Source organism: Homo sapiens, chromosome 17, assembly GCF_000001405.40.
Source record: "Homo sapiens chromosome 17, GRCh38.p14 Primary Assembly".
Classification (NCBI taxonomy): domain Eukaryota; kingdom Metazoa; phylum Chordata; class Mammalia; order Primates; family Hominidae; genus Homo; species Homo sapiens.
This window is the reverse complement of record NC_000017.11, coordinates 3,264,927-3,288,604: the sequence shown is the minus strand read 5'-3', so window position 1 is coordinate 3,288,604 and position 23,678 is coordinate 3,264,927. Positions and strand designations below refer to the sequence as shown.

The window sequence follows — 23,678 nt, the reverse complement described above, 5'->3', positions numbered from 1 at the left end:
TTTTTAATTTGAATTTCTTTGATTATGGGTGTGGTTGAACACATTTTTATGTACAGTCATGTGTCACTCTACAACGGGGATACATTCTGAGAAATGCATTGTTAGGTGATTGTGTTGTGCAAACATCGCTTACCCCTGTGTAAGAATGTACTTGCACAAACCTAGGTGGTATGGCCTACTGAACACCTAGGCTATATGAAATAGCCTGTTAATAGCCTATTGCTGTGACCACTGCCATGTATGCAGGCTTTGTTGACCAAAACATCATTATACAGCTCATAACTGTATTTATTTGTTATTTGTATTTCTTCTTTGCAGATTTCTTTTTCTTTTTTTGTCTTTTTTTTTTTTTTTTTTTGCCCTTTTGGTGATAGTTTATCTTTTTGTAAATGATTGGTAGAAACCTTTTCTGTTTTAAAATGGTAATTCTTTGCCATATATGTTGCTAACATATTTCCTAATTTCCCATTTGTCTTTAATTTTGTTTAGAGTAACTGCTGCCCAAATTAATTTTATATTTTATGACCTTTATCTTCTTTGTTTTATGTCATGCTTAGGAAAAAGAGCTTTTTCATCTAAATGCTGTATAAATATGTGTCTGATGTTTTTCTAGTATTTTTACATTTCTTTTTAAGTCAAATATTTAATATATTTAGAGCTTATTGTTATGTATGCTCTAATTTTTTCCTAGTAGATAACAATTGTCTCAACACAATAATTTTATTATAAAATTTAATATAAGCTCGATTACATATACAGTATATTGATATTATATATATATAATAGAAAAACATAAATTCAGCAAAAGTAAAAATATTTTAACTGAGACCAATGCTGCCACCCACGAAGCAAGTTTGCAGTTCAAGCCTCGCCAAGAGAATTACCTATCAAACATGGGAAATGACACGTGATAAATAATGTAATTGAGAATCTCCAGCAGAACTGAATATTCGTAATGTCCAGGATACAGTCCAGAATTAATATATGAAGAATCAAGAAAATGCAACACATTCTCCAGAGAAAAGAAAATCCAGCAAGTCCAACTCTGAAATGAACTAGATGTTGACACTAACAGACGAAAATTTTAAATGGCTGTTATAATTACCCCAAATTAGGTAAAAAATTAAACATGTTTTCAAGGAATGAAAATCTCAGCAGAGATATAGACACAATACCGCGTACACATGGATGCAGAGTGGAAGGATAGACAATGGAAAATCAGAAATGGGAGTGGGTGGGAGGGGGGTGGATGATGAGAATAAATTACTTAATGGGTACAATGTGCATTATTTGAGTGATGGGAACCCTAAACACCCTGACCTGACCACTCTGCACTCTGTGGATGTATCAGAAATGTGGGTGGGTAGGAGGGGGGTGGATGATGAGAAATTACTTAATTAGTACAGTGTACATTATTTGAGTGATGTCCCCATCCCAAGATCTCAAACTTTAAAGTCTCCTTTACCATATAAAGTAGATTCCAGGGTTTAGGTTGGATATCTCTGGGGCCCATTCTTCTACCTACCACAAGATGGATTAAAGACTTAAATGTAAGACCTAAAACCATAAAAACCCTAGAAGAAAATCTAGGCAATACCATTCAGGACATAGGCATGGGCATGGACTTCATGTCTAAAACACCAAAAGCAATGGCAACAAAAGCCGAAACTGACAAATGGGATCTAATGAAAGAGCTTCTGCACAGCAAAAGAAACTACCATCAGAGTGAACAGGCAACCTACGGAATGGGAGAAAATTTTTGCAATCTATCCATCTGACAAAGAGCTAATATCCAGAATCTACAAAGAACTTAAACAAATTTACAAGAAAAAACAACCCCATCAAAAAGTGAGCGAAGGATATGAACAGACACTTCTCAAAAGAAGACATTTATGCAGCCAACAAACATGAAAAAAATCTCGTCATCACTGGTCATTAGAGAAATGCAAATCAAAACCACAATGAGATACCATCTCACACCAGTTAGAATGGCTATCATTAAAAAGTCAGGAAACAACAGGAAACAATAGATGCTGGAGAGGATGTGGAGAAATAGGAATGCTTTTACACTGTTGGTGGGAGTGTAAACTAATTCAACTATTGTGGAAGACAGTGTGGCGATTCCTCAAGGATCTAGAACTAGAAATACCATTTGACCCACCAATCCCCTTACTGAGTATATACCCAAAGGAATATAAATCATTCTACTATAAAGACACATGCACATGTATGTTTATTGTAGCACTGTTCACAATATCAAAGACTTGGAACCAAGCCAAATGCCCATCAGGGACAGACTGGATAAAGAAAATGTGGCACATATATACCATGGAATACTATGCAGCCATAAAAAAGGATGAGTTCATGACCTTTGCAGGGACATGGATGAAGCTGGAAACCATCATTCTCAGCAAACTAACACAAGAACAGAAAACCAAACACCACATGTTCTCACTCATAAGTGGGAGTTGAATAATGAGAACACATGGACGCAGGGACGGGAAGACCACACACCAGGGCCTCTTGGGGGGTGGGGGGCAAGGGGAGGGATAGCATTAAGAGAAATACCTAATGTAGAAGACAGGTTGATGGGTGCAGCAAACCACCATGGCACACGTATACCTATGTAACGAACCTGCACATTCTGCACATGTACCCCAGAACTTAGAGTATATTTAAAAAGAGAAAATCTACTTCATAGAATTGTGAAGACTGAGACTCCAGGCTTGTTGTGTTCTTAGCATGTTACCATGTACATGACAAACACTCATAAATGGTTCCTGTTTGTCTGTGTTTGTTTTGTTGTTGTTGTTGTTTGGGAGGGATTCTCACTCTATAGCCCAGGCTGCAGTGCAGTGGTGCGATCACGGCTCACTGCAGCCTCCACCTCCTGGGCTCAAGCGATCCTTTCATTTCAGCCTCCAGAGTAGCTGGGACTACAGGCCCGCACCACTGTGCCTGACAAATTTTTGTTATTTTTTGTAGAGATGGGGTTTTACCATGTTACCCAGGCTGGTTTTGAACTTCTGGGCTCAAGCGATCCCCGCCTCAGCCTCCCAGAGTGCTAAGATTACAAGTTTGAGTCACCACACACAGCCACAGATACTCATAATTGTTATCAATTCATATGTAGATAAATTGTTGAACCTCTATTAGCAACTTAATGAATGTAATGTTCACAGCAGTGCTCTGTGAGGAAGGATATCTCATTTTACAGATGAGGAAACTGAGGCCCCAAAACTGACTTTGCAGCTTGTACAAAGTCAAACCACTAATAATCAGAAGAACAGGTTTGTCTATTCTGCTTTTTCTACTGCACCACAACTCCCTGGTGGGAGAAGAAGGAGCCCTCTCTCTTAGGCGAGGGAATGTTAGTGGGAAGAGGAGTCAGAGGAACACACGCCTACATCTTCCCACAGCTTCTGTTCATTAACCTGCCACCTTCACCAGGCCTCTCAATTCCTCAGGGCCGGACTTAGAAAATCATGTTGATAGGCACCTTCCCAGTAGTCCTGCTAGCATCATAGGGCTCATCTCCCACCACCTCTAGAATCATTATAGGATCCCCAAGACACAGTCCAAGTGTCCCCCACTAACAAGTCCCCAGGAGAGAAAGCGCCTCACTACTGAGGGCTCAACAGGAAACCGGCTTTGAAGAAAGCTTTTCCCTCTTATCTCCCTTCTGGGGCCTCCTCCTACCTCCCCAGGTCCAAGACAAGTTCAGGAATTGGCTTGTTTCTGCTCAAATGCCCTGGTTGATATCTGGGAAAGAAAATATCCCCTTAGAAAGCCCATATAGAGTCTCCAGCTGCACCTCTCCCTTCCTGGGGGACTTTGAGGACATAGGCAAGTCCTGTAGGCCTCAGTGACCCACATTAAGCAGAGCGGACATCATCTGCCGTAACAACCTGCCCACAAAGCCAGGGCTAGAGGCAAAGCCTTCCTTGTGAGAAAGTCTAAATACCAGAAGGGGTGAGGCATCGTTGCCATGAGTATGAAGGGCCTGAGGTGTCTCCTTTTCCGTGTCTCTCCCCCCATCCTTCTCTCTCCTAGGAGAGCCAGTTTCTGAGTGCCCCAGAGGAGAATGCTGTAGTGAACACAGCCCTGTACAGAGAAGACAGCAGCTTGATTCCTCTCATTTCTCAGTCATTAGCCCCTCACTCGCTCTCCGGGAGGATAACGGGGTGTGCGCAGCTCCTCCCCTTCTTTCCTGAAGAAACCTCAGTGGCTTCCGTGCCCTTGCCAGGGTGAGTGTTCTCCTGAGTCCTTCCTCTGCTCCTGCAAGATAGAGAAGGGGCTTCTGTTGCCATCAGCTTAGTAAGCCTGGTGCGATGGATGCCCCTGACAGGGAAAGCCATTTAGGGGAAGACCTGGCACTACAGCCCGGAGGTCCTGGGTTCTTTTGTGGTTTTCCCCGTGCTCGCCTCTCTCAGATGAAGCCTGCTGCCTGTTAGCATGAGTGTGAGGAGACTCGCTCAGACCAGTTCACTGCCCGCACCCACTGCATCAGGCAGCGGGGAACCCTCGCTCCAGCGAAGTCCTTGAGCCTCGTCATGTTGGGCGCGTGAGGGATGGGCTGGAGTTCCAGAGCAGGGAGCTGTCACAGCTCGTAAGGGGAGCCTCGAGAGTGGTCGTGCAGGAGGGCTCCCCAGTGGGCCTCGTGGGGACCCTGTCAGACCCTCTGGATGTCTCGGTGACCTGAGGTCATCCCAGAATCCCCCTGGTTTTAAGCAATTGTATCTCTAGCTGTCTGAGGGTTGGCAACAGCTGTTTAGTGGTTCTTCTACCCCTGACCATGACTTACTTGTCTGTAAGGTGTGGCCCCTCCTAAGGGCCGTATTGTTTTGGGAGGTTTAAGTAAAAAGAAGATGTGGACTGGTCCATGACCTGCTTGTCCTGTTAACACAGAGGAGTCCCTGCCACAGCCTTGAACCCTGCACTTAACCTGGACCTCCCCTAAAGCACACTAAGCCATGACAAATTCCAGTGTGTCCAGAAAGTCTTCCCTGAGAACTCTAGCTCATACTGATGATATCGTACACATTTTAACCATCCATTTATTTAAGAAATATTGGATACCGGCCGGGCGCAGTGACTTACGCCTGTAATCCCAGCACTTTGGGAGGCTGAGGTGGGCGGATCACCTGAGGTCAGGAGTTCGAGACCAGCCTGATCAACATGGAGAAACCCTGTCTCTACTAAAAATACAAAGTTAGCTGGGCGTGGTGGCGCATGCCTGTAATCCCAGCTACTCAGAAGGCTGAGGCAGGAGAATCGCTTGAACCCAGGAGGCAGAGGTTGCAGTGAGCCGAGGTCATGCCATTGTACTCCAGCCTGGGCAAAAAGAGCAAAACTCTGTCTCAAAAAAAGAGAAAAATATGAAATATTGGGTACCTATGTGTAAAGTGTTATGATGATTATTGCTATTGAAAATGAATCAAACATATTCTGTCCTCAAGTCACTTACAGAGACAGACTCTATAAAGAAGTGACTCACCCAAAATGTAAACAGTCATAAATTCCAAGAAATGGTGTATATTGATAGTTTAGGGGGTGAGGAGAGAGAGAGAGAGAGAAAGAGACAGAAGAGGAGAGCAGAAGAGAGGAAGAAGGAGAGAGAGATTCTTTTTAGATGGAGAAGTTTCAAGGAAGGATTAATTCATCAGTCAGCATTTGAGTCAAGTTGTGAAATATCTGGGCATGTGCCGTTGGAGGGAAACCATTGCAGGTGGGGAAAACAGCATGAGCAAGGAGCTGGAAGATCACAGGGTTGCTGTCCAATGCTTCTGTTAAAATGGACCTGACAGGAAAAAGGGAAGTAGTCAACTATCCTTTAATATAACATATGTAAAGAGCTATCACCCTTTGATTTGTTGATTTGCAAAGCATTATCAGTTACCACCTCTGTCAGTGATAATCAGGCCAGAGGATGATTTCTGCCCTCCTCCAAGTCATGTGATCTTAGAACTTTAAGGACCTCTTGGAGATCACCGCATCCACATTCTCACCCATGTGGCATCCCCTCTGCAGCTTCCCCGTGGCCTGAGCACACACAGTGGAGACCTCATTTGGAAGGCTGGTCATCGAGACAGCCTCACATTGGAGACATCCCCTTGCTGTAGAGACTCCAGTGAGATGCACGTTATCCACATGAAACTGCGGGTCAGTCTTTAGAGACTATCTTGACTCTTTTTTTTGAGACAGAATCTCAGACGGAGTCGCCCAGGCCGGAGTGCAGTGGCGCGATCTCAGCTCACTGCAACCTCCGCCTCCCGGGTTCAAGTGATTCTCCTGCCTCAGCCTCCGGAGTAGCTGGAACTACAGGTGCCCACCACCACACCTGGCTAATTTTTTGTATTGAATGGGGTTTCACCGTGTTAGCCAGGATGGTGTCAATCTCCTGACCTCGTGATCCACCCACCTCAGCCTCCCAAAGTGCTGGGATTACAGGTGTGAGCCACTGCACCTGGCTGAGATTACCTTGATTCTAAGCGTAGGTGGAGGAGTCTTTGTGGAAGTGGCTGGATCACCTAAAAGGGCTGGTGACCTTCATGTCCGGTATGGAGAAAAACAATGAAGAGGGAAACAAGCCATCATCATGCCTCCCAGGCTGCAAATCTGGCAGAGTTCTCTGTCCTGGCTGGGCATTAGAACCACCTGGGAGGCGCTAAGGAAACACCCATACCCAGGTACCACCAATTAAACCAATTAAATCAAAATTCTTGGTGAAAGGCCTGAGCATCAGTATTTTCTTCTTAAAGCATCCCAGGTGATTCCAATAAGCATGGGGACTAAGAATCTAATTTAACAGAGTTGGAAATCGAGGCTGGAAATACCACCAAACCTTTGCAAGGTATCTTAAATTTTTGTAACTTTTCTGTGTGTCATTTTATAAAGTATTTCCTGCTCTCCCTTCAGGGTTATCAGTAAAAGTAAAATGAGAAAACAAAACAAACAAACAAAACTCTTAATTTGAGGGGGTGGCAAGAAAGAGCTAGTCGTTGGAAGTATCTGCTCAGTTAAATGCTAAGACAGCAGTGATCAGGTGGGTGCTTTGAAAAATGCTGATGCTGCCGGGCGCGGTGCCTCACGTCTGTAATCCCAGCACTTTGGGAGGCTGAGGCGGGTGGATCACAAGGTCAAGAGATCGACACCATCCTGGCCAACATGGTGAAACCCCATCTCTACTAAAAATACAAAAAAATTAGCTGGGCGTGGTGGTGCATGCCTGTAGTCCCAGCTACTGAGGAGGCTGAGGCAGGAGAATCTCTTGAACCTGGGAGGCGGAGGTTGCAGTGAGCCGAGATCGTGCCACTGCACTCCAGCCTGGTGACAGAGGGAGACTCCATCTCAAAAAAAAAAAAAAAAATCCTGATGCCTGGGTATTATCTTGGGAGATTCTGATTTAATCGGCCTGTGGGTAAATTCTGGACAACAGGAGTTTTGGGGGCTCCCACATAAATCTAATGTGCAGCCAAGGTTGATACTGGCTGTAAGTCACTTGTTCCAGGATTGTGAGTACATTTTCCCTTGACTTCCCTAGTCAGTGCTCACCAGAGGCTGAGGAACTGCTGATAATGCCGGCTTCTTGCTTTTAAAGTCCCACCTAAACACTGCACAGTCAGCCTGCCCGGATGGCTTCTCATTCACTCCTGCCTCTTCTGCTTTCCAGATCTTAGTGAGACCAGTTAAGACCGTGCCACCAACCCGTGCACTCAATTCCCACTTTTATGAACAAAGGATTTAAACATCATTTTGGTGACCACACCCCTAGGCAGTCATATCAGTCATACTGCTGCTACAGCATTTCTGATTTCTGGAACCTCCTTAATCATTCCTGCCTCTGCATTTCACTGCCCCAGCTCAGGCAATCATCACTGTTCCCCTCCAGCTGCTTCCCATCCTCTGATTCCAGTCTATTCTATGCAAGGGAGTAACATTGCTTTTAAAGAACCTCTGGCCTGGCTTATTCCATGGGCAATAGAGACATTGATGTTTTTTGATCTGGAGTAGGATATAAAATCTGAAAGATGGGCTGGGCGCAGTGCCTCACGCCTGTAATCCCAGCACTTTGGGAGGCCGAGGCGGGCGGATCACCAGGTCAGGAGATCGAGACCATCCTGGCTAACACGGTGAAACCCCGTCTCTACTAAAAATACAAAAAAATTAGCCGGGCGTGGTGGTGGGCGCCTGTAGTCCCAGCTATTCAGGAGGCTGAGGCAGGAGAATGGCGTGAACCCAGGAGGCGGAGCTTGCAGTGAGCCGAGATCGCGCCACTGCACTCCAGCCTGGGTGACAGAGCAAGACTCTGTCTCAAAAAAAAAAAAAAAATCTGAAAAATGACTTCAGCGTGGTTTTCCAAGTACATGCCTTCGTCATTTCAGGATGTATCATTAGAGCCATTGGTCAACCTACCGTGCCTAAGTCAAGGACAAGGGAAGGACAGTGACTGTGCAATGCAGAATGTAACTGCACCTGGCGGCAACCAACCCACAGGCTATGACCACAACTTTGGTTTTAGAGAGGAATAGCAGATAATACACACAGAAAAACATCATTTTACAGTAAGTCATTAGTCAAAGTCCATTGTAGGGGCTTAAGTAACAATAACATTAACAATTTATTGAACAAGAAATGTTGAGTTGATACTTCAGAGTGTGGTCCCTCACCTTGAAGAAATGTACTTGGCTGGTCTTTCTGATATCCACAATCATGAATACCTTCTCTCTGATTCTTGCTACAGCTTTGCTTGACCTTTATTATGTCTAGAAGCCTTTAAACCTAGGTGTTTTTGTTTTGTTTTGTTTTGTTTTGTTTGAGATGGAGCCTCGCTCTGTCACCCAGGCTGGAGTACAATGGTGCAGTCTTGGCTCACTGCAACCTCCACGTCTCGGGTTCAAGCGATTCTCCTGCCTCAGCCTACTGAGTAGCTAGGATTACAAGTGCCCCCCACCACACGAAGCTAATTTTTGTAGTAGAGATGTGGTTTCACCATGTTGGACAGGCTGGTCTCAAACTCCTGATCTCAGATGATGCACCCGCCTTGGCCTCCCAAACTGCTGGGATTACAGGCGTGAGCCACCACGCCCAGCCTGGGTTATGTTTTTAAATGCATTCTACTTTCTCTGGATTTCTATTTTGAAACCTGCTTATTAGTTTGGGATGATCCCTCAGAGAGCAATAGGAAAACTTCATCTAAATCTAACTATATTCATAGAGGAAGCCTTGTATGTTTTTTAAAACAAAGTTTTTGTCTATATTTAAGGTACAGAACATGATGTTATGAGATACTTGTAGTTAGTAAAATGGTTACTATAGTGAAACAAATTAACATATTCATCATCTCACATAGTTACCCATTTCCCCCCTGTGGCGAGGACAGCTGTAATCTACTCAGCAAAAATCCTGAATGCAATACACTTTATTAACTATAGTTCTCATGTTGTTCCAGGTATTCTGACCTTTTCAGCTAGCAGAGGATGAGGAGGACAAGGTGGTGGTGTCATTGGGCATGTCAACCAAGAGCAAGGTAAAGGCATTGAGGTGATGGAGGAGGTCAACGAGTGAGGGATGGCCTGGGGACTCGCCACGGGGCTTTGAACATAAATGGTTTAAAATATTAATGTTGAATAAGTGAACTGAGTGAACTGATACCTCCCCTGCTGGGACATGTCCTTACAGAAACTCATGGAGCCAGAAGCTGGGACCAATAGGACCGCTGTTGCTGAGTTCATTCTACTGGGCCTAGTGCAAACAGAAGAGATGCAGCCAGTTGTCTTTGTGCTCCTCCTCTTTGCCTATCTGGTCACAACTGGGGGCAACCTCAGCATCCTGGCAGCCGTCTTGGTGGAGCCCAAACTCCACGCCCCCATGTACTTCTTCCTGGGGAACCTGTCAGTGCTGGATGTCGGATGTATCACTGTCACTGTTCCTGCAATGTTGGGTCGTCTCTTGTCCCACAAGTCCACAATTTCCTATGACGCCTGCCTCTCCCAGCTCTTCTTCTTCCACCTTCTGGCTGGGATGGACTGCTTCCTGCTGACCGCCATGGCCTATGACCGACTCCTGGCCATCTGCCAGCCCCTCACCTACAGCACCCGCATGAGTCAGACAGTCCAGAGGATGTTGGTGGCTGCGTCCTTGGCTTGTGCCTTCACCAACGCACTGACCCACACTGTGGCCATGTCCACGCTCAACTTCTGTGGCCCCAATGAGGTCAATCACTTCTACTGTGACCTCCCACAGCTCTTCCAGCTCTCCTGCTCCAGCACCCAACTCAATGAGCTGCTGCTCTTTGCTGTGGGTTTCATCATGGCAGGCACACCTTTGGTTCTCATCATCACTGCCTACAGCCACGTGGCAGCTGCAGTTCTACGAATCCGTTCAGTGGAGGGCCGAAAGAAGGCCTTCTCCACGTGTGGCTCCCACCTCACCGTGGTTTGTCTTTTCTTTGGAAGAGGTATCTTCAACTACATGAGACTGGGTTCAGAGGAGGCTTCAGACAAGGATAAAGGGGTTGGAGTTTTCAACACTGTTATCAACCCTATGCTGAACCCTCTTATCTACAGCCTCAGAAACCCTGATGTTCAGGGTGCTCTGTGGCAAATATTTTTGGGGAGGAGATCACTGACCTGAGAGGTAATGGGGTCCCTCCTTTCCTGCCTTTTCTGGACTGAGGAAAATTTCCCATGAAGACAGTAACCAGGAAAAATTCAGCCACAACTATTTTTCCTATCTCCTGATGCTTGAAGATCGGTGTTACATATTTGTCCTACTAGGAAACCCTACATAATTTATTCATTCAACAAATACTTATTAGAGTACCTCTATGATCTGGACAGTCTTCCAAGGCATTGGTGGACAAAATGGACAAAAGTCTCTGCACTCATGCAACTCACATGCTATAAAAGTAGACAAAGTAAATAAGCATCATATATACCACATGATGATAGTTTCTATAGAGATGAACAAAGATGTTAATATGAAGTCAGGTTCTGCCAAGCAAGCCCTGTGCAAGTTTTACCCTGTTTTTGGCTGTGCCTACTTTCTGGATAGAGTTAAAGCCTTGTAGTTCTGTGTGCCTGGCAAGCAGCATTCTACAAAGAATGTCCAGTCGGTCAATCACAGCCTAAGTGACCAAAAGTATTTCTGCAATATTTCTGGTGAGGACATGAGATTCCCTGCAGATCAGAATAGGGGAAAATTTTTTGTTTGTTTCTTTGTTTTGTTTTGTTGTTGTTTTGTTAAAAACTTGTTAAAAAGTTTTTTAAAAAAACCAAAACCATAGGCCTAGTGCAATGGATTATTTCATTCATTTGTTTGCCTTTCACCTTCATTTTCTTCTCTCCGCTACCACAAAAGAATCCTGCTGGATGTTGACTGGGCGCAGGGTGGCTGACGCCTGTAATCCCAGCACTTTGGGAGGCCGAGGCGGATGGATCACGAGGTCAGGAGATCGAGACCATCCTGACTAACATAGTGAAACCCCTTCTCTACTATAAATACAAAAACAAAATTAGCCGGTGTAGTGGTGGGCGCCTGTAGTCCCAGCTACTCGGGAGGCTGAGGCAGGAGAATGGCGTGAACCTGGGGGGCGGAGCTTGCAGTGAGCCGAGATAGCGCCACTGCACTCCAGCCTGGGCGACAGAGCAAGACTCCGTCTCAAAAAAAAAAAAAAAAAGAATCCTGCTGGATGTTTAGGGAACAGGAAAGGTCTAGAGAGGAAAAGAGCCCACTAAATTAAAACTACGTTCATACATATATGATATATCTTAAGGTCATAAAAGGAAGGTTTCATCTCCATTCCCTGCCATGCCTTTTTCTCTCATTTAATGTTACCTTCCTCACACATATGATAAAGTTTTTGAAAGAGTAAATGTTTGTATTACAATCAGGTCCTTAGAATTTTCAATGTAGAATATCCAATATAACCTTCTCCTCCAAAGTCTTACTTAGCTCTCTCAAAGCTCCTTGCTTAGAAAATACATACCCATAAATGTAGTTCCTGGAAAGGAGGGATGCATGCATGCCTGTCTTCCTTCCTTCCCAGTGTAAATATATTTATTTTAAAAATTATTCAGAATGTTATACCTAATAGTGGAAACATTCAGACGATATTATTTTGTCAAGTAGGAAATAAAAATCCAAATGTTCCTTCACTGCACCAAAAATCACACTGTTCAGAGTTTACGCCTCTGACAATTGTTGTGTTTTTTCCTCTAGCGATTTCCTGTATATATGATATGCCCGTTTCACATCAGTAGAACCATACTGTTCTGTGATCTGCTTCCTGTTTTTCCTGCATATTGTGCCATACAATCTTTTACATAATGAAGACTAACATCCTGCTTTATCTGTTTTAATGGTGGCACAGTATATCATTAAACATGTAAGTCACAATTTCTTTCATTAAACCTCTATTTCTATAATTTGGGTTATTTTCAATTGTTTTGCAACAACAATGTTGTGATGAATATTCTTTTTTTTTTCTTTTTTTTTCTTTTTTTTTTTAAATTATATTTTAAGTTTTAGGGTACATGTGCACATTGTGCAGGTTAGTTACATATGTATACATGTGCCATGCTGGTGCGCTGCACCCACTAACTCGTCATCTAGTATTAGGTATATCTCCCAATGCTATCCCTCCCCCCTGCCCCCACCCCACCACAGTCCCCAGAGTGTGATATTCCCCTTCCTGTGTCCATGTGATCTCATTGTTCAATTCCCACCTATGAGTGTGAATATGCGGTGTTTGGTTTTTTGTTCTTGTGATAGTTTACTGAGAATGATGATTTCCAATTTCATCCATGTCCCTACAAAGGACACGAACTCATCATTTTTTATGGCTGCATAGTATTCCATGGTGTATATGTACCACATTTTCTTAATCCAGTCTATCATTGTTGGACATTTGGGTTGGTTCCAAGTCTTTGCTATCGTGAATAATGCCGCAATAAACATACGTGTGCATGTGTCTTTATAGCAGCATGATTTATAGTCATTTGGGTATATACCCAGTAATGGGATGGCTGGGTCAAATGGTATTTCTAGTTCTAGATCCCTGAGGAATCGCCACACTGACTTCCACAATGGTAGAACTAGTTTACAGTCCCACCAACAGTGTAAAAGTGTTCCTATTTCTCCACAACCTCTCCAGCACCTGTTGTTTCCTGACTTTTTAATGATTGCCATTCTAACTGGTGTGAGATGATATCTCATTGTGGTTTTGATTTGCATTTCTCTGATGGCCAGTGATGATGAGCATTTTTTCATGTGTTTTTTGGCTGCATAAATGTCTTCTTTTGAGAAGTGTCTGTTCATGTCCTTCGCCCACTTTTTGATGGTGTTGTTTGTTTTTTTCTTGTAAATTAGTTTGAGTTCATTGTAGATTCTGGATATTAGCCCTTTGTCAGATGAGTAGGTTGCGAAAATTTTCTCCCATTTTGTAGGTTGCCTGTTCACTCTGATGGTAGTTTCTTTTGCTGTGCAGAAGCTCTTTAGTTTAATTAGATCCCATTTGTCGATTTTGTCTTTTGTTGCCATTGCTTTTGGTGTTTTGGACATGAAGTCCTTGCCCATGCCTATGTCCTGAATGGTAATGCCTAGGTTTTCTTCTAGGGTTTTTATGGTTTTAGGTCTAACGTTTAAATCTTTAATCCATCTTGAATTGATTTTTGTATAAGGTGTAAGGAAGGGATCCAGTTTCAGCTTTCTACATATGGCTAGCCAGTTTTCCCAGCACCATTTATTAAATAGGGAATCCTTTCCCCATTGCTTGTTTTTCTCAGGTTTGTCAAAGATCAGATAGTTGTAGATATGCGGCATTATTTTTGAGGGCTCTGTTCTGTTCCATTGATCTATATCTCTGTTTTGGTACCAGTACCATGCTGTTTTGGTTACTGTAGCCTTGTAGTATAGTTTGAAGTCAGGTAGTGTGATGCCTCCAGCTTTGTTCTTTTGGCTTAGGATTGACTTGGCGATGCGGGCTCTTTTTTGGTTCCATATGAACTTTAAAGTAGTTTTTTCCAATTCTGTGAAGAAAGGCATTGGTAGCTTGATGGGGATGGCATTGAATCTGTAAATTACCTTGGGCAGTATGGCCATTTTCACGATATTGATTCTTCCTACCCATGAGCATGGAATGTTCTTCCATGTGTTTGTATCCTCTTTTATTTCCTTGAGCAGTGGTTTGTAGTTCTCCTTGAAGAGGTCCTTCACATCCCTTGTAAGTTGGATTCCTAGGTATTTTATTCTCTTTGAAGCAATTGTGAATGGGAGTTCACTCACAATTTGGCTCTCTGTTTGTCTGTAGAAGAAATGGATAAATTCCTCAACACATACACTCTCCCAAGACTAAACCAGGAAGAAGTTGAATCTCTGAATAGACCAATAACAGGAGCTGAAATTGAGGCAATAATCGACAGTTTACCAACCAAAAAGAGTCCAGGACCAGATGGATTCACAGCTGAATTCTACCAGAGGTACAAGGAGGAACTGGTACCATTCCTTCTGAAACTATTCCAATCAATAGAAAAAGAGGGAATCCTCCCCAACTCATTTTATGAGGCCAGCATCATTCTGATACCAAAGCCAGGCAGAGACACAACCAAAAAAGAGAATTTTAGACCAATATCCTTGATGAACATTGATGCAAAAATCCTCAATAAAATACTGGCAAACCGAATCCAGCAGCACATCAAAAAGCTTATCCACCATGATCAAGTGGGCTTCATCCCTGGGATGCAAGGCTGGTTCAATATACGCAAATCAATAAACGTAATCCAGCATATAAACAGAGCCAAAGACAAAAACCACATGATTATCTCAATAGATGCAGAAAAAGCCTTTGACAAAATTCAACAACCCTTCATGCTAAAAACTCTCAATAAATTAGGTGTTGATGGGACGTATTTCAAAATAATAAGAGCTATCTATGACAGACCGACAGCCAATATCATACTGAATGGGCAAAAACTGGAAGCATTCCCTTTGAAAACTGGCACAAGACAGGGATGCCCTCTCTCACCACTCCTATTCAACATAGTGTTGGAAGTTCTGGCCAGGGCAATTAGGCAGGAGAAGGAAATAAAGGGTATTCAATTAGGAAAAGAGGAAGTCAAATTGTCCCTGTTTGCAGACGACATGATTGTATATCTAGAAAACCCCATTGTCTCAGCCCAAAATCTCCTTAAGCTGATAAGCAACTTCAGCAAAGTCTCAGGATACAAAATCAATGTACAAAAATCACAAGCATTCTTATACACCAACAACAGACAAACAGTGATGAATATTCTTACAGTGCTGTCTTTCCAAATCTCTAGAATTAGTTCGCTGCGATTAATTCTTATGAATAACTTTATCAGATTAAAGGATGTGCAAATACACATTTTGAGATATGCATACACACCTTTCTTAATTTTTGAAACTTTTGCACCAGCTTATAAATTCACTGAATTATGATAGTGTCTGTTTACTCACATCCCTACTATCAAGGGCTATTATAAATAGTGTCTTTAATTTTTACAATCTGAAAGTTGAAAAATTATAGTATTTTAATTGAATTTTTTCTAGGTTTATTGGAGTATGATTAAGAAATAAAAAATTGTACCTATGCTATAAAGCATGGTTTGATAAATGTATATATTGTGAAATGATTACCACAATCGAGCTAATTTACATGTTCATCACCTCATATAGTTATGGTTTTGTGTGTGTGATGAGAACATGTAAAATCTATTGCTAGCAGATTTCAAAGACATAATACATTATTATTAACTATAGTTGTCATGCTGTACAATAGAACTCCAGAACTTACTCCTTCCACCTAATTGAAACTTTGTGCCCTTTGACCAGCATCCAAGATTATCCTTATTTGTTTTCCTCTATAGGTAAAGTTGGTTTTTCATCCTTTGCCTTCTTTTAAGTTTTTATCTTTTCTTTCATTTTCTAAAGTTTAAATATGGTATTTCTACATGTAGATTATTTGGTATTTATCCTATTTTGTTGTTCGCTGAGTTTCCTAGATCTACGATTTGGTGTCTGTTATTAATGTTGGAAAATTCTCAGACACCATTACTTCAAATATTTATTCTGTCCCTGTTTCTCTCTCTTCTCCTTCTGGTCTTACCATTATGTATAAGTTACATCTTTCTTTATTATCCCACAGTTTTTGGACATTCTCTTTTAGTTTTATCATTTTTTTCTATTTGCTTTTTAGTTTGAGAAGTTGCTATTGACATATCTTCAAGCTCTATTGACATAACTTCAAGTTCACAGATTTTTTTTTTTCCCTCAGGCATCTCTAGTCTATTGATGAGGCCATTGTCTTAGTCCATCTGGGCTGCTATAACGGAATACATAGAGTGAGTGGCTTATAAACAAGAGAAATTTATTTCTCACAGTTCTGGAGGCTGGGAAGTCCAATATCAAGGTGCTGCCAATAGACCTGGTATCTAATGAGAGCCCACTTCCTAAGTCATAGGTGGCTGTTTTCTCATTGCATCTGTACATAGTGCAAAGGACAAAGGAGCTCTCTGGGGCTCATTTTGTAAAGCACTGATCCCTTCCATGAGGGCTCTGCTCTCATGACCTAATCGTTTCCCCAAAGCCCCATCCCCAAATACCATCACATTAGAGATTAGATTTCAACACATGAATTTTGACAAACATTTCACTCTATGCACCCGTCAAAGGCATTCTTCATTTTTGTTATGGTGTTTTGGATTTCTAGCATTTCCTTTTGATTCTTAAAGTTTCCATCTCTCTGCTTACACTAACCATCTTACATATTGTACACTTTTCTTCCGTTAGATCCCTTTGCATGTTAATCACGGTTATTTTAAATTCCCAATCTGATAATTCCAAAATCTCTGTCATATCTGATTCTGGTTTTCATACTTGCTTTGTCTCTTCAGACTGTGTGTTTTGCCTTTTACCATGTCTTGTAATTTTTGTTGAATGCTGGACATCACGTATGGGTAAAGGGAACTATGGCAAATAGGCCTTTAGTGGGAAGTGTTGTGTTTATATGGCCAGAAGTTAGGCTGTGTTTACTATTTGCTGTAGCCATAGATATCAGTGGGTAAAATTTTCTCTGGTGTCCTTGTGTTTATCTCCCCATTGTCTTTGGGTTTCTGTAGATATTCCTTCTTAAATAGGGTTGGAACCTTGCAGTTCTTTCCATTGTAATCCCGTTAGCATATAGGAGCCCTACTGGTGTGATGGTGAGATGTGGGGGCAAGGAAAGCATTCTATAATCCTGTGATTAGGTCTCGGTCTCACTCAGGTCTCATGATGAGTTTGTGCCCCTGCACTGTTATTTCACAAGTGCTACTCAACTTCCTCCTCTCCCTTAAGTGAGACAGGAAGTTTAGAGTTGGGTATTTCCCTTCCTCCATGTTGAAGGTTAGAGGGAGCTGGGTATTTTTCTTCCCCCACATTGTCAATTAGGCTCTGGTAAAACCTATAGTTGGGGCAGGCATGGTGGCTTACACCTGTAATCCCAGCACTTTGGGAGGCCAAGGCAGGTGGATCACCTGGGGTTAGGAGTTCAAGACCAGCCTGGCCAACATGGTGAAACCCCATCTCTATTAATAATACAAAAAGTTAGCCAGGCATGGTGGCACATGCCTGTAATCCCAGCTACTCCAGAGGCTGAGGCAGGAGAATCATTTGAACCTAGGTGGCGGAGGTTGCAGTGAGCCGAGATTGCCCCATTGCACTCCATCCTGGGTGACAAGAGCAAAACTCTATCTCCAAAAACAAAAACCTACAATGGGTTAGGCTCTGGTAAAATCATTTCCCTTGAGAGCCAGCCATTATTAAGGAAATATACTCTGAGCATATTTCAAAATTGCTGTTTTTGGGGGTCTGACAGGGGTTGCTTTTCTCCTCCCCGTCAGAAGCATAAAAGGATCCTTCTAAAATCTTCACAGTAAGAATCTGGTGGTGTTCCTGGAGGTAAAACTCAGGAAACTGTGACGGTCCTCTTAAGACTCCCCACACCCCAGCCCAGAGTTTCTAATTCCCAAGCTAGTTCACAACGATTCTCCCACTTGTCAATTGTGGTCTCGGTGTGTGTACCTGTGCTGGCCCCAGCAGTGGGCTTCTGCTCCTGGGCTTCTATTCCAGTTAAGCCATGATTCTTCGTATTCACCTCTCTCCCATTTTCAGAGCAGCAGCTTGCCCTGTGACTTGAGTTCTTTGAGGAATCTAAGAAGAGTTGTTGCTTTTGAATTTGTTGCACTTTTTATTGTGGGAATAGGACTGATGACTTCTAATCTCTTTACATGTTGGAGTGTAAACCAGGACTCTACATTTTATTTTATTGATAACTGCTGGTGGTGAACATTTATGGTCTTTCCGACTTCTGTTTCTCCCTTTCTGACAGCTGCCAATTTCTGTTTGGCATCCAGGTGGCTCCAGGGAGTGTGGTTCCAGCCCAGGCTCCAGAGAGGGGGTATCAGAATATCTAATGGCCTGGCGATGGTGTGATGGTTCTATATGGGTGTGTGACCTAAGTTACCTTAACAAGATTCTTTACACTAGCATTGCTCAACTCAGTTTCCATGAGAGAATTAAGCCCTACACAAAATGACTCGGCTATTTTCTAAATTTCCCCAAAGATACATAGCTGGCAACATTCTAGACGCATAGGATGGAAGTTAGTACATGACAGAGTGTATGTTTTGGGACGTTCAGTTAATTCCCTCAGGGAACTCTGGTAGAAGAGGACAACTCTAGACTCTTGCTCCTCATCAAGCAAAGAAATGACCTTGCCACCAGAAGTCTGAGAGACAAAAAAGAGCTACCAAGTCTGACTTGGGCCAAAACCCAGAAGAGAAAGGAATCCCAAAAACAGACTGCTAATGATTGAACTGCTTCCCCTCAAAACGCATTTGCTGACTCCAACACAGGGACTGAGATAGCAGAGAGTGTAGCTGAGAGGCTAAGAAGTGAGCAGAGTTTTAGCGGCTTATGGGGCTGGAGAGATAAAACTTGCAGGTAAGGTGCTGCCAAAGGGAAAAGTACAATAAACACTCTCAGCTTTGAAATGGGAGTTTTAGCGTGCTATACATTCTAGGAGTAAGGCATAATCGGAAATAGGCCAAGCCTCGCAAAGAATGAAACTCAGCTTTAAGCAACTAACTCGATCATGGGTTGGATAAAAGGGATCTACTCCTATCCTTTCTGCCTGCCAGACTCAAAAATAAGTCATTTCTGGAAGAAGAAGCTATCATCCAGAGCAGTGCTATCCAATAGAAATTTCATATGAACCACATACATAATTTAAATTTTTCAAGAGCCACTTTAATAAAAGTAAAAAGAAACAGGTGAAATTAATGATGTATTTTATTTAATTCAATAATCTAAAATATTACCACTTCAACATGTTAATATTTAAAATTTTTCATCTGTCATGGTTGTAGTGAAAAAAGAAAAATATTTTAAAAATAAAAAATTATAAGTGACAGATTTTACATTTTTATATTTCATAGTCTTTGAAATCTGGTATGTGTTTTTTTTGTTTGTTTGTTTGTTTTGTTTTGTTTTTTTAGACAGAGTCTTGCTCTGTTGCCAGGCTGGAGTGCAGTGGCGTGATCTCGGTTCACCACAACCTCCGCCTCCCAGGTTCAAGCAATTCTCCTGCCTCAGCCTCCCAAGTAGCTGGGACTACAGGTGCATGCCAGCATGCCCGGCTAATTTTTGTATTTTTAGTAGGTACAGGGTTTCACTATGTTGGCCAGGATGATCTCGATCTCTTTACCTCATGATCCACCCGCCTCACCCTCCCAAAATGCTGGGATTACAGGAGTGAGCCACCGTGCCTGGCCTGGTACGTGTTTTTTAAACTTATAGCACATCTCAATTAGGATGCCAAATTTGCATCAGAAATACTGGGTCCGGGTTCTCTCATGAGGCTGCCTTAGCGGTATCAGCCAGTGGTGCAGCTGTCTCAAGGCTTGACCAGGGAGGGATAAGCTTCCATGCTCATTCACGTGATCCCTGGTAAGTTTCCACATTTTGCTGGTTGTTGGACTGGAGGCCTCAGTGCCTCACTGTCTGTTGGCTGGAGGCCGCCTTCAGTTCCTTGCTACTAAGGCCTCTCAAAACACGTCTGCTTCCTTCCACAGAGCAATCGAGAAGAGAGCCAGAAAGAGAGGAGATGGAAATCATAGTCTTTTATAACTTAATCTCAGAAGTCATTAGTTTTACTGTATTCTCTTTGTTAGAAGCAAGTCCCTAGATTTCACCCACACCCAAGAGAGGGGACTATATACAGCTATGAATACCATGAGGCAGCAATCACTGGGAGACATTTTAGAGGCTGCCTGCCCCACAACCCAAATGTCCATCTGTAGGTGAATGGACACTGATAAGTTTTGGCTCTGTGTCCCTACCCAAATATCATGCTGAATTGTACTCCCCACGGGTTGGAGTGAAGGAAGAAAATGACAAACACAAAATTCAGGGTCATGGTTACTTCTGAAGGAAAGACATACATAGAGATTCCATAGTACTGGAAATTGAACAATACACAACCAAAAATAAAATGCACAAGAGTGATTAACAAAAAATGCAAATTGTTAACAAATACCAGGAAAAAGATAAACCTTATTACGTCAGAGCTATTCAAATGAAAATAATAATGAGAGACAACTATTCCCATAGGATAAAGAAGAATGTATTAAAACAATGGCAATATAGTGTTAGGGAAATGAAGTTAGCGAAAGCAGTAAGAGTGGAGGTGCTTCTCCTGAAGCTGAGAATCTGGAATCTGGGAAGCAAAACCAGAGGCAGGTATTAAATTATTAAATGCTCACATCTATAATCCCGGTGTATCCGGAGTTGGTTCCTTCCAGTGGGTTCATGGTCTTGCTAACTTCGAGAATGGAGCTGTGGACCTTCACGGTGTGTTACAGCTCTTAAAGATGGCATGGACCCAAAGAGTGAGTAGCAGCAAGAAATGTTGTGAAGAGCAAAAGAACAAAGCTTCCATAGCATGCAAGGAGACCAGAGTGGGTTGCCGCTGCTGGCTGAGGGGTGGCCAGCTTTTATTCTGTTATTTGTCCCCGCCCATGTTCCGTTTCTGTCCTATCAGAATGCCCTTTTTTTTCAATCCTCCCTGTTATTGGCTACTTTTAGGATCCTGCTGATTGGTGCATTTTACAGAGTGCTGATTGGTGCATTTTACCATCCCCTTGCTAGCTACAGAGCACTGATTGGTACATATTACAATCCTAGCTACAGAGTGCTGATTGGTGCATTTTACAATCCTCTTGCTAGAAAGAAAAGTTCTCCAAGTCCCACTCTACCCAGGAAGTCCAGGGACTTCATCTCTCACCACACTTTGGGAGGCCGAGGCAGGTGGATCACCTGAGGTCAGGAGTTCGAGACCAGCCTAGTCAACATGGTGAAACCCTGTCTCTACTAAAAGTACAAAAATTATGGCCGGGCCCAGTGGCTCACTCCTGTAATCATAGCACTTTGGGAGGCCAAGGCGGGCAGATCATGAGGTCAGGAGATCTAGACTGTCCTGGCCAACATGGAGAAACCCCGTCTCCACTAAAATACAAAAAAATTAGCCAGGCGTTGTGGTGGGCGCCTGTAGTCCCAGCTACTTGGGAGGCTGAGGCAGGAGAATTGCTTGAACCCGGGAGGTGGAGGTTGCAGTGAGCTGAGATCGTGCCACTGCACTCCAGCCTGGGTGACAGAGCCAGACTCTGTCTCAAAAAAAAAAAAAAAGAAAAAGCTTCAGCCCCAGCACTTAGTTTCTCCTGTGGTTTCATGCTTGGTTCATCCGAGCATACTCAGGTCACATGACCTAAGGAGCCATGGCCACTGAAAAACAACTTACAACCTTGTTACATTAAAGTTGAAGCAGATGGGTCTGGTGCAGCTGCAGTTGGGTTAGACGGAGGCGTCTTTGCTTCACCACAAATCCATAAACTCATTCTGAGCTGGACCTGTGTTCTAATCACTCCGATATCCCCCACAGGCCTTGCTCACGGTGGAGGAAATTTTCTGTCTCCACTTCAATGCCCAAAATTACCCCTCATGTCAACTTCTGGAAGGCTTTTCCTTGGCGAAGTCTTCCCAGAGCCCCATGCATGTCCTTGTTCCTCAGGCTGTAGATGAAAGGGTTAATCATGGCGTCACCACCGCATACATCACTGTGGCTACTGAGTCCTTCATGGAGTAGGTTTGGAGGGGCTGCAGGTACACCATACCCAGAGTCCCATAGAAGAGGGAGACCACAGCCAAATGGGAAGCACAGGTGGAGAAGGCTTTGTACTTCCCAGTGGCTGAGGGTATTTGGAGGATGGCTCTGACAATGCGGGCGTAGGATGTGATCATGAAACCTAAGGGGATGAGGAAGATGAAGCAGCCCGTGGCAACCAGTACTGTGTGGTTGACGTGGATGTTGGAACATGCCAGCCTTAGCAGGAAGTACATCTCACAGAAGAGGTAGTGGATCTTTTGAGACCCACAGAAGGTCACCTGGTCATGAGGAGGATATGGATGAGGCCATAGAGGGCAGAGAACACCCAACACAAGGAGAGGAGCAAGATACAGAGCCCAGGGATCATGGCTGTGACATAGTGGAGGGGACGGCAGATGGCCACATAGCGATCATACGCCATCACGGCCAGGTTGAGGTTGTCCAGGGCCACCAAGGAGACCAGGAAGTAGAGCTGTGTCAGACACCCTGTGTAGGAGATGGCTTTGTTCTGGGACTGGAGGTTCACCAGCATCTTGGGGATTGTGTTGGTGACAAAGAAGAGGTCAGTGAAGGAGAGGTTGGCCAGGAAGAAGTACATGGGGGTGTGCAGGCGGGAATCAGAGCTGATGGCCAGGATGATGAGCACATTTCCCAGCACCGTGACCAGGTACCTGACCAGGAACATCCAAAACAGCATCTGCTGCTGCTCAGGACTCTCTGAGATCCCCAGGAGAAGGAACTCTGAACCTTCACTCTGGTTGCCTCCATCCATTTCCCCAACTCTCTGCAACATTAACACCAACAAATGTTTACAAGGTGTCCTCAATTTGTAAGATGACAAGAAGATAAGCAAAATCAGCTATTTTCTTAGCATTAAAAATATTTTAGACTAAATTTTATAATCTGTTTAGATAGGCAACAAAGTCATAAGGCACAAAAACAGAACGTGGAAAATCTCTGTGCAACTTAATTATTCCAGCAACTTCTAATCTGGCATACTCAATATTATAGGAATAATATCTATGACTTATTTTAAATCCTATCATCTTACTGTACTCTTGAAATGTTTAAAGATGAGTATGTTATGTTATGACATTTTATAGATTTTTAAAACAGATGTATACATTATAAGAAATAGATATTGTACAACTAGACAAAGGGGAACATATTGGAAAGGAGAGGGAAAAATTATTATTTGCTTATATGATAGTCTATTTGGGAACCCTCAATTGATGAAATGTCACTAGAAATAAAAAGGGATGTCAGTAAAGTTACCAAACACAAAATGAATAGACCCCAAACTAATGGTGCTCCCAGTAAGCCATATAGTGTAGCCATACAGCCTGTGCCCTCAGAATGCAAATCCGAGTACTACCACCGACTAGCTGTGACATCCCAGGCAGGTTACTTGAGCTCTTCCAGAACTGGGATCCTTCATGTGCAACATGGGGGTGGC

At 43.1% G+C, this 23,678-nt stretch overlaps 1 protein-coding gene and 1 pseudogene across 2 annotated transcripts in view; one reads left to right on the top strand and one right to left on the bottom strand.

Moving 5' to 3' along the window:
- The window catches only part of OR3A2 (olfactory receptor family 3 subfamily A member 2), a 110,196-nt gene extending 97,704 nt beyond the window's left edge, over positions 1-12,492 (top strand). The window contains exons 5-7 of one of the 2 annotated variants that reach the window (XM_047436157.1): positions 4,054-4,247; positions 9,452-9,529; positions 9,682-12,492. In XM_047436157.1, the coding sequence (XP_047292113.1) occupies positions 9,512-9,529; positions 9,682-10,635 (972 nt within the window). In that variant the 5' untranslated portion in view covers positions 4,054-4,247; positions 9,452-9,511 and the 3' untranslated portion in view covers positions 10,636-12,492. The remainder of the gene's footprint in view (positions 1-4,053; positions 4,248-9,451; positions 9,530-9,681) is intronic. The other variant, NM_002551.5, reaches the window with a different exon arrangement.
- Positions 22,151-22,793, bottom strand: OR1D3P (olfactory receptor family 1 subfamily D member 3 pseudogene; annotated as a pseudogene).